This window comes from Homo sapiens, chromosome 2, assembly GCF_000001405.40.
Source record: "Homo sapiens chromosome 2, GRCh38.p14 Primary Assembly".
NCBI lineage: Eukaryota > Metazoa > Chordata > Mammalia > Primates > Hominidae > Homo > Homo sapiens.
The window spans coordinates 204,318,998-204,334,811 of record NC_000002.12 but is presented as its reverse complement, the minus strand read 5'-3'; the positions used below and the strand labels follow the sequence as shown (position 1 = coordinate 204,334,811).

Below are 15,814 nucleotides of genomic sequence, written 5' to 3'. Positions count from 1 at the left end.
TATTATATATAAATTTGTATATATTTATATATTATATATAATACATTATATTTTGTATATTTAATGTCAGTAGGTATTATATTTAATATCAGAGCACCTTCTAAATGCCAAACACTGTATAGTTTACCCATTGCTTCTCAAAGAATTCCCTGACATACCATTATCATCCCCACTTAACATACGCAGGAGCACATTTCAAAGGGTTAGGTAACCTGCTCAAGGTCATGCAGGTAATAAGTGGCAGGTTCAGGGTTTGAATTCAGGCAGCCTATTCTGGATCCTAAGCTCTTAAATACAAATTCCAGTAGCCAGCATATATATAACGCTTACTTTGTATGGGGCACTAGGTGCTTTGTATTTGTGAAACTCATTAATTTCCACATTGATTTTATTAGGTAGATACTGTAATTAACCTTATTTTTATTGGTGCAATTAATGAAGTATACAGAGGTCATGTTACATTCTCAAGGTCATGGACTCGCAAAATGGCAAGGAGGAGTGGGCCAGGGACTATGTTTTAGCTACGATGCTATTCTCCTCTCCATACCATGCCATCCTCTGCCCGAAGGTCTGCTTGGGCAGCGTTTTGTTGGTTTTGAATTTCAGTGCTGTTTTTGTATCTTTCTTATTAAAACCATGAAAAGCCTTTTTTTTTTTTTAAATAAAAGGGGCTACTCACAAGTATCCCTTTGTATTTGTCTCTGCTTCTCCTTTGGGGATGTCAGCTGGCAGCTGAGAAAACAAATTTTAATTCTTTCATTGAGATAGGCTTAGGGCAATGGGGATATTACTGGACATAGAGATTTGGAAACCATTTCTTCTTTATAAGTCCCAGGTGGTTTGTTAGGAGTAAATGAGCGTCCTGCCTTAGCTATTACTCAGGCTAATAGGACAAATAATTCCATCCAAATCTGAGTGATTGAGTACATGAACAGTTTTGTTACAACAGCTGAAAACTAGGAAATCAAATGAGGTAAATTAATTTTAAAATAAAAGTGTTCCCTTAGAAGGGTCCCCCAGATGTGCAGAGCAACTGGTGCCAGCAACCACCCCATAATACAAAGCCAAAAGGCTCAGGAAGAGCCAGTGGTAGAGATAGCCCTGGCCACAGAGGCCATGGGAGGTGGGTCAGGGAAAGACAGGTTTCATCATTAAGCCAGAGGACTAAGTGATAAATTAGATTGGACATCTACATCAGTGTGTGCTTAGGGAATGCCAGTTCATTTTAATATTAACCTGTAAAAATATAATTAGCAAAATATAACTCCTTGCACAAACCTCTACGTTATACAAAATAGACAGAAATAAATGAGAAATATTGTCCGCACCAAGTTTACTTCTGAGACTGAACGCAGATGTAGATCAAAGGTTGAAGGAGCACATATAATCAGTGGCTTTTCATATATAACATGTATTTTTAGAGATGGGGTCTTGCTATGTTGCCTAGGCTAGTTTCAAACTCCTGGGCTCAAGTGATCTTCCTATCTTAGCCTCCCAAGTAGCTGGGACTATAGGCTTGTGCTGCCATGTCTGGCTGATCTTTTTAATAAAAAGATAAAAACACAGATAAAATACAAAACCAACAAAATGTGGCATATATAGATAGATAGATAGATAGATAGATAGATAGATTCATCTGAATATTTTTCTTCTCAGGAAATCTCTTTCTGCAAACTGCTGGTTACTGTATTCCTTCTCTCAAGTTATGGAATTCAAGTTATGTCTGGATTCATTAATACCTATGGCTTATTGGGCACCCACTATGTGCCAAGTGCTTTTTAGGCGTTATTATACTTATCCTCCCAACAACTCCCAGGAATCCGTTATATTATCCTCATTTTATGGGCAGGAAATGGAAGCTGAGTAAGGTTCAGTAACTTGCCCAGGGAGCTAAGTGTTTGAACTGCCCGGGATATAAACTCAGGGTTGTTTGATTCCAAAGTACTGAGCTTACTATCTCTAGCAGAACATATTTGAAAGGATGCCCTGACTATGAAACTGCAAAACCACTGGCAATACAGCAATATCACTGTAATATCACTGGGTAACCCTTTTGGAAGAGAAGTGGCTGTAGTTACTAAAATTGAGAAAGGAATTCTATATTAGAAATGCATGTTAAGGCTGGATGCAGTGGCTCACACCTGTAATCGCAGCACTTTGGGAGGCCGAGGTGGGCGGACCACCTGAGCTCAGGAGTTGGACACCAGCCATCCCAACATCCCAACCTCGCTTGTACTAAAAATACAAAATTTAGCCGGGCGTGGTGGCACAGATCTGTAGTCCCAAATACTAGGGAGGCTGAGGCGGGAGAATTGCTTGAACTAATAAGGTGGAAGTTGCACTGAGCCGAGATCGTGCCACTGCACTCTAGCCTTGGCGACAGAGCAAGACTCTGTCTCAAAAAAAGAAAAAAAAGAAATGCATCCTAAAGACATGCTTGCACATGGACTCCAAAATGTTCTGACATTTTCCTATTTCTGTGTAAAATAGGAAAAATGTAAAAAATCATATTAATAGTCAGCAGAAGAATATGCAAATAAACTATGATTCATCCTTAATATGGAACATTGGGCATCTGTGAAAGAGAACGGGAGAGTGCTGTATCTACTGATGGGGAAAAAACCTTCAGGTCATATTTAGTGGTCAAATTGAATTGCAGAACAATATGCATGATATGATCCCATTTACATTTTTAAAAGATATATACATATGTACGTGAATATTATAAAAGCATAGGATAAAAACTGGAAGGAAGCATATAATTTCCTGGGATGGATGTGAGAGTTTAGAAAGGATGGAGATGGAGAAAGGGCAAGGGAATGAAGGACCATTTTCAAATTTTGCTTTATAAGTTTATATGAGTTTGATGTTTTTAGAGTGATAAAGGACTCATTATTTACATAATAAAAAAGAAAAGTGAACATTTTAGCGACTATAGTCAAATGGCAAAAGTGTGTTTGTGTTTCCATAAACTTTGTTTTTTTTTGTTTTGTTTTGTTTTTGTTGTTGTTTTTTGAGGTGGAGTCTCGCTCTGTTGCCAGGCTGGAGTGCAGTGGTGCCATCTCAGCTCACTGCAACCTCCGCCACCCGGGTTCAAGTGATGCTCCTGCCTCAGCCTCCTGAGTGGCTGGGACTAAAGGCACATGCCGCCACGCCCAGCTAATTTTTGTATTTTTAGTAGAGACGGGGTTTCACCATGTTGGCCAGGATGGTCTCAATCTCTTGACCTCGTGATCTGCCTGCCTCGGCCCCCTAAAGTGCTGGGATTATAGGTGTGAGCCACCGCACCTGGCCGTGTTACCATAAACTTTTCAGATACGTTAGTGTACAAGATATTTCCTCTTTAAGGAGTTTGTTAAATTTTTTTCAGCCTCTTCCCCTGAAACCTTTAGCCAGTTTCTGCAATTTAAGCATATTTCAACAATGAATACTTAATAGAGTCATGCACTGCATAATGACATTTCAGTCAATGATGGATCGCATACAGGATGTTGGTCCCATAAGATTACAATCCACATTTTTACTGTACTTTTCTATGTTTAGGTACACAAATACCATGTGTTACAACTGCCTACAGTATTCAGTAAAATAATATGCTGTGTAAGTTGAGGCTATACCATATCGCTTAAGTGTGTAATAGTCTACAGCATCCACATTTGGGTAAGTACACTCTATGATGTTCGAAGAACAATGAAATCACCTAATAATGCATTTCTCAGAATGCATCCCTGTTGTTCAGCAATGCATGACTGTATTAATAATTATTTCAGATAAGAGTCTTAGTTCTGTTCTGTGATATGTTACAAAGAAGGAACAACCACACCAACAAACAACAAAAATCAGCAATTTTAGGTCCTCTGTTCAAAAATTCCACAAAATAAATGTGTCATTTGGAAACATCATATTGATAATTCTAGTGGCTCCTGGCCCAGGCAATAGCAAGTGGGGAACTCATTGTCCTATATTTTGAGGCTTCAGCAGGACAGTAATGAAAATTCACTAGAGAGTCTAATAAGCGTATCCATCTGATCTCCAAGGAGCCTCAAGCTTAAGAGGAGGAAGAAGACAGGACGGCTCTTCTAAAAAGTAACCACAAAAAAAAAAAAAACGCAATTACTTTTGCACCAGCCTAATAGAAGAAATGCCATATCCTTACATACGCCTCCCTGGGCATCCAAAGAATTCATATTCATGGGCATTCAGTATATTCAAAAAGATTTACCTGATGCTAAATCTTTGCCTGCAAGCCAGGGCAAATGTACCATGGGCTAGTTCCCAGCACTTCAGTAATTCTTGAAGGCTGGTGTTAGAGGTATAATCTGTGTAAGACTGGAAGGTCACAGAACACAAAGAAAGTTGTACCCCTTTGCACTCACCAAAAAGGGGAAAATGTGACTTTCTCTAGCTATATAAATAGCTGATATCAGGTCTGTCTGTAGTATTACCCAAGTGATGACCCATATTGACTAAAAAATAGCTGTGAAATTATCAGGCAGCTTGGGCCACAGTCTCATTATTTTGATAGTCCAAGCGTGGCCTTTAACAACATATTGTCATTGTCACATTTGTCTCAGGAACATCAGATGATGATGGCTATTAGTTTGCATTTTTGAAGATATGTCTAAGACATCTGACAAGGTTTACGTACAAATTAAAATAACAACAAGAATTCAGGCTAGTGGCTTGCCCTGCAATTGTCCAGGGCAATATTATAACCCATGATAACATTTTGCTCCCTGTTAGTTCCTATAGCAATGAAGAAAAATATCTGTAATGATAGTTCCTTTTGCTTTTAAAATGTGAAATGTGTAAACAAACAAATAGAATGTGCCATTTCAGACATACTTCTGCAACATGTAAAGATGCCGCTTTGGTTTTACCTCAGGGATAAAGACTTGTATATGAAAATACCTCACTCTTAACAATTCTAACACATCATGCTTATTACCCCCTAAATTCGGCTTTTGTTTTGTTTGCTGATTGCATTTCCTTCTAATCTGCAATTATCAATTTACCCATCCTGTTTTACTCTATCCTATTATCCATGTGTCATCTATTTAAGATTATTATCTCATGGAAAGCCACTGTCAGCAATATTTTTACATTGCATGCGAGAGACAGAGAGTTTGACGAAGAAAGAATGAGAGGACAGAGAAAATAGAATGGGCAATGGTAACCGAGGCTGTGAGAGGTGATATTATAGACATGACCTCACTTTCCTCCTGCCAGTCCAGTGGAGGTGGCCCCAGCATAAAGAAGCAAAGGTCTAGGAAGACATGTGGCAGACAGCAGAGCCAGTGGCGACTAGGGAGCGCCACCAACTAGCATACAAGGCAGGATTTCTCAGTTACCCCCTTGAATGTAGTTGCCGCCCTCTGCCAGTGAAACCAGGGCCCCGTCTCTCTTATCTAGTTTGTGCAGTGCTCAATGGCATGCCATGCACCAGAGGTTTGTTAAAATATATATGATGATGGTAAATACAGATTAAAATAAAGTGCTGAGAAGCCAAGCCTATTAACTCACCTTGAGGTCCTTGCCCTGGTGGAGAAGCCATGCAGAACAAATGGCCCTGTAACGCTCCAAGCCAAAAGCCCCCAGTGGGAAGACTTTGCGATCAGCATGTGCGGAGGAATTAACTGCACACTCCCTTTAATGTTCATCAGAATTGAACGCTGCTAATTTACAGCACTTCAGCACTTCGGGGCCCCTTAGAGTCTTTCCAATTATGCTAGTGAGGAGGTGACTGGCTTGTGATCCCCATGGTGAGACTGTGGAAGCAGAACTTAGCAGCAGAGGCCCGGGGTTCCAATGCACCCGTCCTAATGAAGCACATTGTTTGCTCCATTCTTACTGTCCACGACCCCCAGGCTTCCTGGGCATTTTCTTCACCCTGCTTTCCCGTACCCATTCTGGAATGGAGAAGCGGGGCAGTCACACAACTAACGCTGGGAGCAGAGTGTGTGTAGCCTTATATTTCTAGTTAAAAAGCAATAAATCCGAAGTCAGGTAATGAATTCCATTTTGAGTAATCTCATTATGGACATCTATTCAAAGAGTCCATATAGCACAGGCAGAATGACTGGAAAACCTAGTATAATGTGCTGGCTTTTTTCCCTGTGCCAAATTAACAGTGAAGGCCTTTTAAAGGATGCTTCATTTAGGCTCTCTTATTATCAGAAATATTATACAAGCTGGAGCTGAGGCCTGACTGCAGTTGCACTGCCGCGATAACTCCCAGTGTTGGATCAATGGCTGGCAAGATTCCACCGTCAAAGGAGCTCCAAGCAGCGAGGCAAGAGGCCCCAGTGCACTGTTCTCTCCTGGAGCCTCGAAGAAGGAAAGAATAGGAGAAGAAGGTCCTGGAAGTGTAAGTGGCAAGGGGATTTTCTCTGGGACTTCTTTCTAGGATCGTCGTGCAGGATCCATTTTTAAGGTGTATTGTACAGGATCTGTTTTATTCAATCCATCTTACATTCAGTTAGCCACTGGTTCTTCCTGGGGCGCTCATCAGTTATACCACCACTTTATAACTTTCAGCTGCTTCCCATTGTTGTCTTTAAAAAGTTTAGACTTCTCACCTGAAAATCACCAGGCTTCCCAAACTTAAATGTACACACCCATCACCTGGGGATCTTGTTAAACTGCAGTTCTGATTCAACAGTCCTGAGGGGCGGCCTGGGATTCCATGCATGTAGTAAGCTTCCAGTGGCCTATACTTGGAGGAGCAAGGCTCTAGAACATTGGTTCTCAAACTTGAACTTGCATTAGAATCGCTGGAGGGTTTGTTAGAAGAGAGGTTCTTGGCCCCGCCCCCAGAGTTTCCGATTCGGTAGGTCCAGGGTGGGACCTGAGAATTTGCATTTCCAGATGTTCCCAGGTGATGCTGAGGCTGCTGACCCAGGCAGCACAATTTGAGAATCATTGCTTAGAGTAATGGTTCTCAAATCTGGCTGCACATACGTATTATCTAAATAAAAATGAGGAGATTTAAAAACATATGGATTCTCACCTCTGACTCAGATTCATGAAATCAGAATTTCTGGGGATGAGGCCCCAGCATCGAAATCTTTTTTTCACTCCTTAAGTGATTTTTTTCAATATGGATTGAGAATCATTGCTCTAAAGCATGGTTTTCAGCACAACTTCCGTACGGTGTCTAGATAGGAAAATAAGACTATGCCCTTAGCCCCAAATTTGCTTTGTACTTCTGTATTTCAGAACTTTGGATTAAACTGGTTTTTCCTCCCTGAAATATCCTTCCTTATGCACTGTCAAAACCCCATCTGTCTTTCATGGTTTATCTCAAATCCCATCTCTTTCATGAGGCCTTTCTCCAGGTCTGCAGCCAGATGAGAGCTCTGTTCCTTGAGCTTTCTAATTCAATTCACAATTGAAATGCTTGTCCAGGCACGGTGGCTCATGCCTGTAATGCCAACACTTTGGGAGGCCGAGGCGGGAGGATCATGAGGTCAGGAGATTGAGACCAACCTGACTAACACAGTGAAACCCCGTCTCTACTAAAAATACAAAAAAATTAGCCTGGTGTGGTGGTGGGTGCCTGTAGTCCCAGTTACTCAGGGGGCTGAGGCAGGAGAATGGCATGAACCTGGGAGACAGAGCTTGCAGTGAGTCGAGATGGCGCCACTGCACTCCAGCCTGGGTGACAGAGCAAGACTCCATCTCAAAAAAAAAAAAAAGAAAGAAAAAGAAATGCTCACCTCCCTCATTTTGTCCCTCCTTCCTGTTCCCAGAATTATCCTGGGCAGCCTCTTTTGTAAAACCTACGCCCGTACTAGGGTTATTTATGTGTCTGTTGACCTTGCCCCACCAGCTTGCAAACGACTCACAGGCAGGAACTGTACCTCATTCATCCTGCTTGTCCTTCCTGAAGTGCATTGTCCTATCCTAGAAGAAAGTCCCTCACTTAGTACCTATTGAGTTGCTCTGTGCCTCTGTGGCCCTGGACATACACTTTCTTTCATAATATACACCACTTGTGTAGTTGCCCTAACCTTCTCTAGCAGATATAATCTGCTTGAGTGGAGGGACTACGCCATGCACATCTTTATATCCTCACATCCCTCTACCCTCAATACACACTCCTTTTTAGGTTCTTGCTACTCAAAATGTGGTCCACGGACCAACTGCATTGGCATCACCTGCAGCTTGTTAGAAACAGTCTCTCAGGCCCCACCCAGATCTACTGAATCAGAATCTGCATTTTAACAAGGTCTCAAAGTGATATGTGAACTCATTAAAGTTAGAGAGGAACTGGGCACCATGGCTCAGGCCTGTTATCCCAGTGCTTTGGGAGGCTGAGTTGGGAGGATCACTTGCGACCAGGAGTTCAAGGCCAGCCTGGGCATAGTAAGACCCCGTCTCTACAACAAATTTGCCGGGCATGGTGGTACATGCCTATAGTCCCAGCTATTAATACTTGGGAAGCTGAGGTGGGAGAATCACTTGAGCCCAGAAGGTCCAGGCTGCAGTGAGCCAAGATTGCACCACTTCCCTCCAGCCTGGGTGACACAGCAAGACCTTTCTCAAAAGTAAAATTAAATTAAATTAAAAAGTTAGAGAGGCACTTCTTTGGGAGGTGACATAGTAAAATATTTAAGAGAATGTGTCCTCGACTCAGACTATTAAGCTTGGGCAAGTTGTGTAAACTCTCTATGCCACAGTTTTCCCATCTGTAAAGTGAGAATATTAACAGTCCTCACCTCATGGTGATGTGGAAACGTTAACTAAAGTAATATGTAAGTAAAACACTCAGAACATTATAAGCACTCAATAATACATTATCAACTATTATTACTCAATTAAAACTGGTTAACTTTAATTGAATTTGAACTGCCACCTAGAATAGACAAGAAAATGAAACACAATTCTGTATGGATGTCAGAAACATGAAATATAAAATGTAATAAATAAAAATATTAAAAACCCCTTAGCAAATGTTAAGGAGCGTGTCAAATGATTCCTGTGTTGAACCTTAAGCATTTAGGTGGCTGGAGCCTTGAAAGTTACCATCCCCCAATTTTCTGCTGTGTCACTAGGTTTTTTTCTATTGAGCAATTCTTTCAGGTCGCCTCCACTCTGCTCTGCCTAAAGGACAACTTCATATAGTGCATTCGTGTCTTAGACTCCCCGATCTCCTGTAGCCTTTGCAATTACCTCGGGCCATGAAATGCGCTCCTTGCTTGGTTGAAACATATGCACACACTGCCCCCTAGGGGATATCCTCTGTCATGACCCTCCAAAACAAAAAAAAATCTCTTGGGGTGTAATTGGCTTCAAGGAAAAGGGCTGAAACCTTGACTGTAACATCCTATACCGCTTTGTAAATACTATTGGTCCACTCTAAAGTTAGGTAATAATAACATGCACTACTGTTGAGCCTTACTAGAATTTGTGAAATAGAACATGATATATGTGACCTGGATTTGTTTCCCTCAAATGTTAGGAAAAGGCATTAACACAGTGAGAGTCTAGAATGATAATCTACATTTGAAATGAATCCCTGTGTTTGTTGATAGAAAAAAATGACACATTCCTATCCCATACAGTAGATCCACAACTTAAGGTATTGAAGGAATGGCAGGGTAATGTTAGCAACATTATGATGAAATTCATTCAACAGATAATTATTGAGAGGCTACTATGTCCCCAGCACTTGTGGTTTTCACTGAACAAGAAAGGCAATCCTTGTTTTCATGGAGCTGACACTCTACGTAATATGGTAGTCACCCACTCTTGTCTCCCTGCTGTCCCCCTCAGCTTCCGGTGAGTTTTCCTTGGCTCTAGGGGGTGCTGACTTGCCTTGGGGTGGAAGACAAGAACAGCCAGTGTACCCTGGTCACCCCGAAAGCATCTCATAGACAGAACTCCGTTACAACCTCATACAACCTGATGGGTTGTTTTTCTGTCTTTTTTGTTTTCTCGTTGTTTATGGTAGGGTTTTGTTGTCTGTTTGTTTTATTTTGGTGGGTCTTTGCTCATTCCTGGCATCTTTCCAGGCCTTTTGGAGCCATACCAACTGAGTAAGAGAGTAGTATCTCGCAAACCAACCCCCAACCCATTGTTGTCGTCTGTCTTAAATCCTGCTTCATTCCGTACGTCTCCTGTGTCTTCTGCCAGGGCTTCCCTAGGTACAACTTCAAATTGAACATATCGTGGCTGCTCAAAATGAGAAAGAAACATTCAACAATATACAAGCTGCAATGTTGTCATACAAATGACCAAGAAAACATTTAATTTGGAGGAAAAAAGAGCTTAAGAATGGGTGTGTGTGTGTGTGTGTGAGAGAGAGAGAGAGAGAGAGAGAAGGTACTACAATACATCACAGCATGTGATCCTTATCTTGGCTCCGGAGTGGAGGAGAGAGAAGGACTATGAAGACCCTTAGAGCAAAAAAGTTTTGCCCACCATGCTGCTTGAGGCACACAGAAGAACCAAGCTAACTTCTAATTAAGTAAGGTCTCCAAAGTTACTAATGGATTCAGTTCAATGGCTCCATTTGAACCCACAAACTTACAATGTATTTCTTTCCTCATAAACTCTGTCACTATCATCATTCTGTACCTACCTTCTGGTCTCCTAAGCTGCCTCCTGATATTCATAATTCCCTCCTCATGGTCACCTTGAAGACATAATGGCCAAGCCTCCTCTGCTTTTGGTGTGCCTTGGAGATAGCTGGAGTCCCCTTGCCTACAAAGTTGCTGGGGGCAAGACTTGCAGTGACCACTGTGTGTCCCCCCATCCTTGAACCCATCCCTTGGGCTCCTCCTGAGATCGTGCTCAAGCTGATGGGGAGCTCTGAGAAGAAACCATCCCACCAGAGTGGCCTCACATGTGCACACATCCTGGATGTTTCTGTATGTCAGTTTCCTTCTCCTTCCTCCAGAGCTCTTTGGATGTTGGAGTGAGGACTAACAATGAAAGACTGTCTTGCCCCACCCAGTCCTATTTTCAATTCATTTCCTGAGCTTACATGCCATTTCCACCAACCAGCCACTCAGCATCCACAAATGGCTACCTCTGTGTCCTACTCTGGGTTGGGCCTTGTCTGTCCTGTTTTCTGTAGAATCTCCAGCACTAGAAGAACACCGAGCACAAGGCAAGACACTCAATAAAGAAAACAGGTAGGTACCTCTATGGAGCACTGACTGTGTATAAACTGTTCATTTCTTATTTAACTGATCCTCATAACAAACCCCAGTCTACGTCTGAGAAACAAACTTGAGTCTTACAGAGCCTAATAACGTGCTAAAATGTCACACAGCTGTATGTAACAAGAACAGAATTTAACCCCAGAGACCCTAACTTCAAAGCTTTTATCCACTATGCTGTGCTACTTCCTCTCGGAGGAAGGGTTGCTATTTGAGACTTTCTTGCCTCCTTGTTTGGGGAGCAAAGCTAATAAGTCAGTTCAGTCATTAGAGAAACCTCCAGCAATATAGGAGTTAAGAGCTGAATCTAGCCGGGCGTGGTGGCTTACGCCTATAATCCCAGCACTTTGGGAGGCCGAGGCAGGCGGATCACGAGTTCAGGAGATCGAGACCATCCTGGCTAACACAGTGAAAACCTGTCTCTACTAAAAAATACAAAAAAGAAAAATCAGCCAGGTGTGGTGGCAGGCACCTGTAGTCCCAGCTATTTGGGAGGCTGAGGCAGGAGAATGGTGTGAACCCAGGAGGTGGAGCTTGCAGTGAGCTGAGATTGCGCCACTGCACTCCAGCCTGGGGACTCAAAAAAAAAACCACAACTGAATCTAGAATTATGTCTTATTTCTCCCATCCTTCTCCTTTGGACTAAAGATTAGGTATTTCTTCCCAACTCTCCTCTAGATCAGTTGAGAACAACCAAGACCACCACCGCCAAAGCAAATGCCAATTTTCAGCTGGGGTCTCTTAGCTCAAGACAGAATAGAAAGCTCTGCAGCAGGCTGAGTGCCCCAGGAACCATCAGTAGGAACAGTGCCACTACTGAATACCCCAAGTGCTTGTCAATGGCTTCCTAACAAATGGCTTCATTTAGACTCTCCTACAGGTCAGCCGCTGCATGTCCACCCGAGACTGCTAAAGGTCACACTCCTGCACTCTCTTTCCTTTTCTGGAAAATGACCTTGAAACCGTAATGAGCCTGGAGGAAGCCAACCAGACAGGAAATAAACCCGCTTGGGTGCGTGTGCTTGTGGAAGAGTTTTGGAAGACCTTCCATCCCCTGGGAAAACACTTGTTTGATACAGTCATGGCCAGCTATTATTCGTGATCTCATTGGTGGGAAGGCTGGTGGGGATTGATTTCAAAATGAACTTTAAGCTAAGAGGGCAGCTAGGAGGTGGCTCTGAGAGGCTCTGTTGACAGGGGCCAGTGGTGATGTCAGAGGAGCTCGGGTCAGGAATTCTGGGGCAAGGGCAGAGTTGATGAACCTTATTTTTAGATGGTGTTGATATTTTTAGTGAAAGTCCAACAGCCTCTCCATTTTTGGTTGGGGGGATAGAGGGAGAAGGGATGACTTCCTGGAGTTAGTCATTTCCTCTGCTGGTGAAGAGATTTGGCGGTGCTCCTATGTCATAGGAAGTGCCTGGAGATGGTAAACACTGCTGACATAATGGGAACTTACACCATGGGTGTGTCAGAGCACACATATTCCTTCCTGGACCCTGGGCCAGGTGAGTGGGGGATGCTTCCTGTTTTTGGCTCTAGGAGGATTTTCAACTTCTGGGAGCTGCTCTGGAGAATAAATCACAAGAACTGCTGGGCTAAGCAGCTGAGGCCACAGACATCAGAAAGTGATTCGGTGGCAAGAATTGTGGAATGTGCCCTGGCAGTTCCCAGAACTGCCGAGTCATCTTATCCTCTCTGAGGTGTATATGGGGCCAAGTGGGTTTGGTTCCAATACCATAAAGCGATCCTCATCTGAAATTTGCTCGCTTGCCAGAGATGCCCTTAGTGCCTGGATCTCATCCATGACTAAATTCATTCAGCAGAGCCTCCTGATTGCGCCTCTGAAATCTCCTATGAGTCTGGTTCCTGCACTGTACCTCTCCAGATGTCCGTCACCTCTTGTATGGATTAGTAGATCACCCGCTCTCCCTGACAATGATCTCTTCCATGTGGGCCCTCCTCCACACTGCTGGTAGTAGGCGCGGTCTTGGAAAACACATAGCAACCTTGTCACCGTTCCCCTTCTCCCTTGTCCATAGTAGATATTGCTAATCGCTCACGGCACTTTAACTACTAAGCCCAGACATAGGTGACCACCCAGTCTTTCTTAACATTATCCTTCAGCTCTCATGACTAATCACTTGGAAATGGCATTTGACATAAAGTCAATTTGCTATCTTGGTGCTCGTGTTATCTTCCTAAAAACGAAATCCAATTGTGGCTTTTCTCTGATGTGAGACTTCCTGTCTTCCTAGTGCCTTCAAAATGAATGCCAACTGCTTGGCAGGTGCCTAGGAACTAAAGCATCTCACCTCTCCTTCCTGTGCGGCCTCATCTTCTCACCTCTCCTTTCCCAACTTCCACTTTTTCCCTATGCATGCCTTGGGGAATGTCACACTCTTTCCCAGATACACTTTGCTTTTCTGTGACTCCTGGGTTTGTATGGGGTGTTCTTGCTTTCTGGATTTTCCTCTTTCCTTTTTCCTAGCCATAAACTCTCATTTTTTCAAACTCTCCATATTTCTCTTCTGCTGTATTTCCAAGATCTCACTAGGCAAAGTCAGGCACCTTTTCTGTGTTCTCTTGGGCTTCTGTTTTTGCCTCTGTTAAAGCATTGTTATTGTAATATGTTCTCATGCTGTATATATGTTACAATATATTGTGGTTATTACATGAATTATATGCATTATAATTATGGTCATGCATTTGCTTACTTATTCAACACATTTATTGACTGCCTTCTATGTGTTGTGTTACTAATAGGTAAATTAATACGTGGAATAAATGTTTAATGAACATGTTTTTGACTAAACAAATAAATGATATTTCCTTGCTCATCGAAGATGCCATTAGCCCTTGTATTTCTAAAGTAGCTTCTTCAAAACCACAGGAGTCTGTGAGTGAAAGTCTTTCCTCAATTATTATAAAAACCTGTGAAAATAAACAGGTTTAAAACTTATTTTTACCAACATCAACCAAGATAAATAATTTTACATGAGTGCATATATGATTACATGACTTTTAGTCATATCTTTTCCCCTTTTTTGGCTTGCCTTTCCCTTCCCTCTCCATCCTATACACCTGCACCCATAGGGTGACCAACAATCACTGTTTACTTGAGACTGTCTCAATTTTAGCCGTAAAACCGCTACATCCTAGAAAACCTTTCAGTTCCAGGCAAACCAGGATGGTTGCTCACCCACCCCTCCACACCTCTATGTTTCTTTTTCAAGTAATCAATTTTTAAAAATCTACTGTATGATCTTCCATATCATTCTCTGTATTAATATAACACAGATTTGTAATTACCAGTGTTTTATAAAAGTAATCAATTATATTACATTACATTACATTACATCATTACATGACATTACATACACTTTTCCGCAACCTGACTTGTTCACTAACAAAACCTTGTGACCATCCCTCCAGGTTAACTGGCATAACTACTTCATTCTTTTTAATGGTTGCATAATTCTCCGTGGTGTAAATATTCCATAATATTTTGGCTGTTCACTTATTAATGAATTTTTGTTTCCAGTTTTTTTTTGCCTCATCGAACAATGATGACACACACACACACACACACACGCATACTTAAATAGCTTCATGTGTTGGTTCTTTCATTTCTATGAGCTAAATTTTCAAGAGTGGAATTGCTGAATTGAATAGTAAATGTTGTTTCAATTTTTATAATTATTGCTCAATTGCTTTTCTAAACAGCTGTAAGACACCATATTTCTGCCATTATATGTGTGAGTACCCTTTCTATCACATCCCCACCAGCTCACCGTCACTGGATGTGATAATTCTTACTAATTTGTCTATCTGATGGCTATAAAATGGCATCTCATTGTTACTTTAATTTGCATTTCCCTGACTATAAATGAATTTGAGCATTTAAAAGAAGGTGCTTGGCCATTTAGATTTACTTTTCAGTGATTTGTCCATTTGTGTCTTTTACCTGCTTTTCTACTGGATTGACTTACTCTTGACAATTTTAAAAGCTTTTTTGTATGTTACAGGTGCCAGTTGTTTTAAATCTGATATAAACCTTTTTCTCTAGCTCTGATATTTGACTGTGATTTTATTTATTGGATCTTTTGCCATAGGAATACTCTTAATATTTACATATTCAAATGTGTCTATCCTTTTTTATCTAGCCTTTGAATTTCTAGTCTTAGGAAGTTCTTCTTAACTCCTAGATTATATCTGTAGTTCTATATTTTTGTGAATTATTTTTTGTTTTACCTTTTCATTTAGGTACACAATTTTTATCTTGTGTAATTTGAGTGGTTTCCAGCTGATTCTTTTCTGGTCTCTGATCTCATTGATCCAAGTAGTGTTGGACCTCCCATATTAGCTGAATGATAGGTCATTGTTGGATGTTCTTCCAGGTATCCAGAGACCCAGGTGAGTCTGCCTAAGCCATCTCCCTCTTCTTACCCATACCCACACACCTTTCATTGAGTCTCAATATTCATCAAACTCTCCACAGTACAAATAACTCTACTCAAGGTTGTTAAATCACCTTTGGGCCAATATGACAGCAATATTTTAGAAACATAAATTGTAGTGTAATATTTATATTTTGAATTTTGGCCTCTTAACTTCTATTCCTCCTCTCTTTTTACAAAACAGTATTC

At 41.6% G+C, this 15,814-nt stretch overlaps 1 annotated feature.

The window, feature by feature from the left end:
• Positions 11,976 to 13,175: an enhancer, noted in NCBI's record as "MED14-independent group 3 enhancer chr2:205186360-205187559 (GRCh37/hg19 assembly coordinates)". NCBI's record gives its function as "activates an origin of replication core promoter dependent on BRD2, BRD4, P300/CBP and CDK7 cofactors, and independent of MED14, by STARR-seq in HCT116 cells {active_cell/tissue: HCT116}" and the evidence as "EXISTENCE:reporter gene assay evidence [ECO:0000049][PMID:35650434]".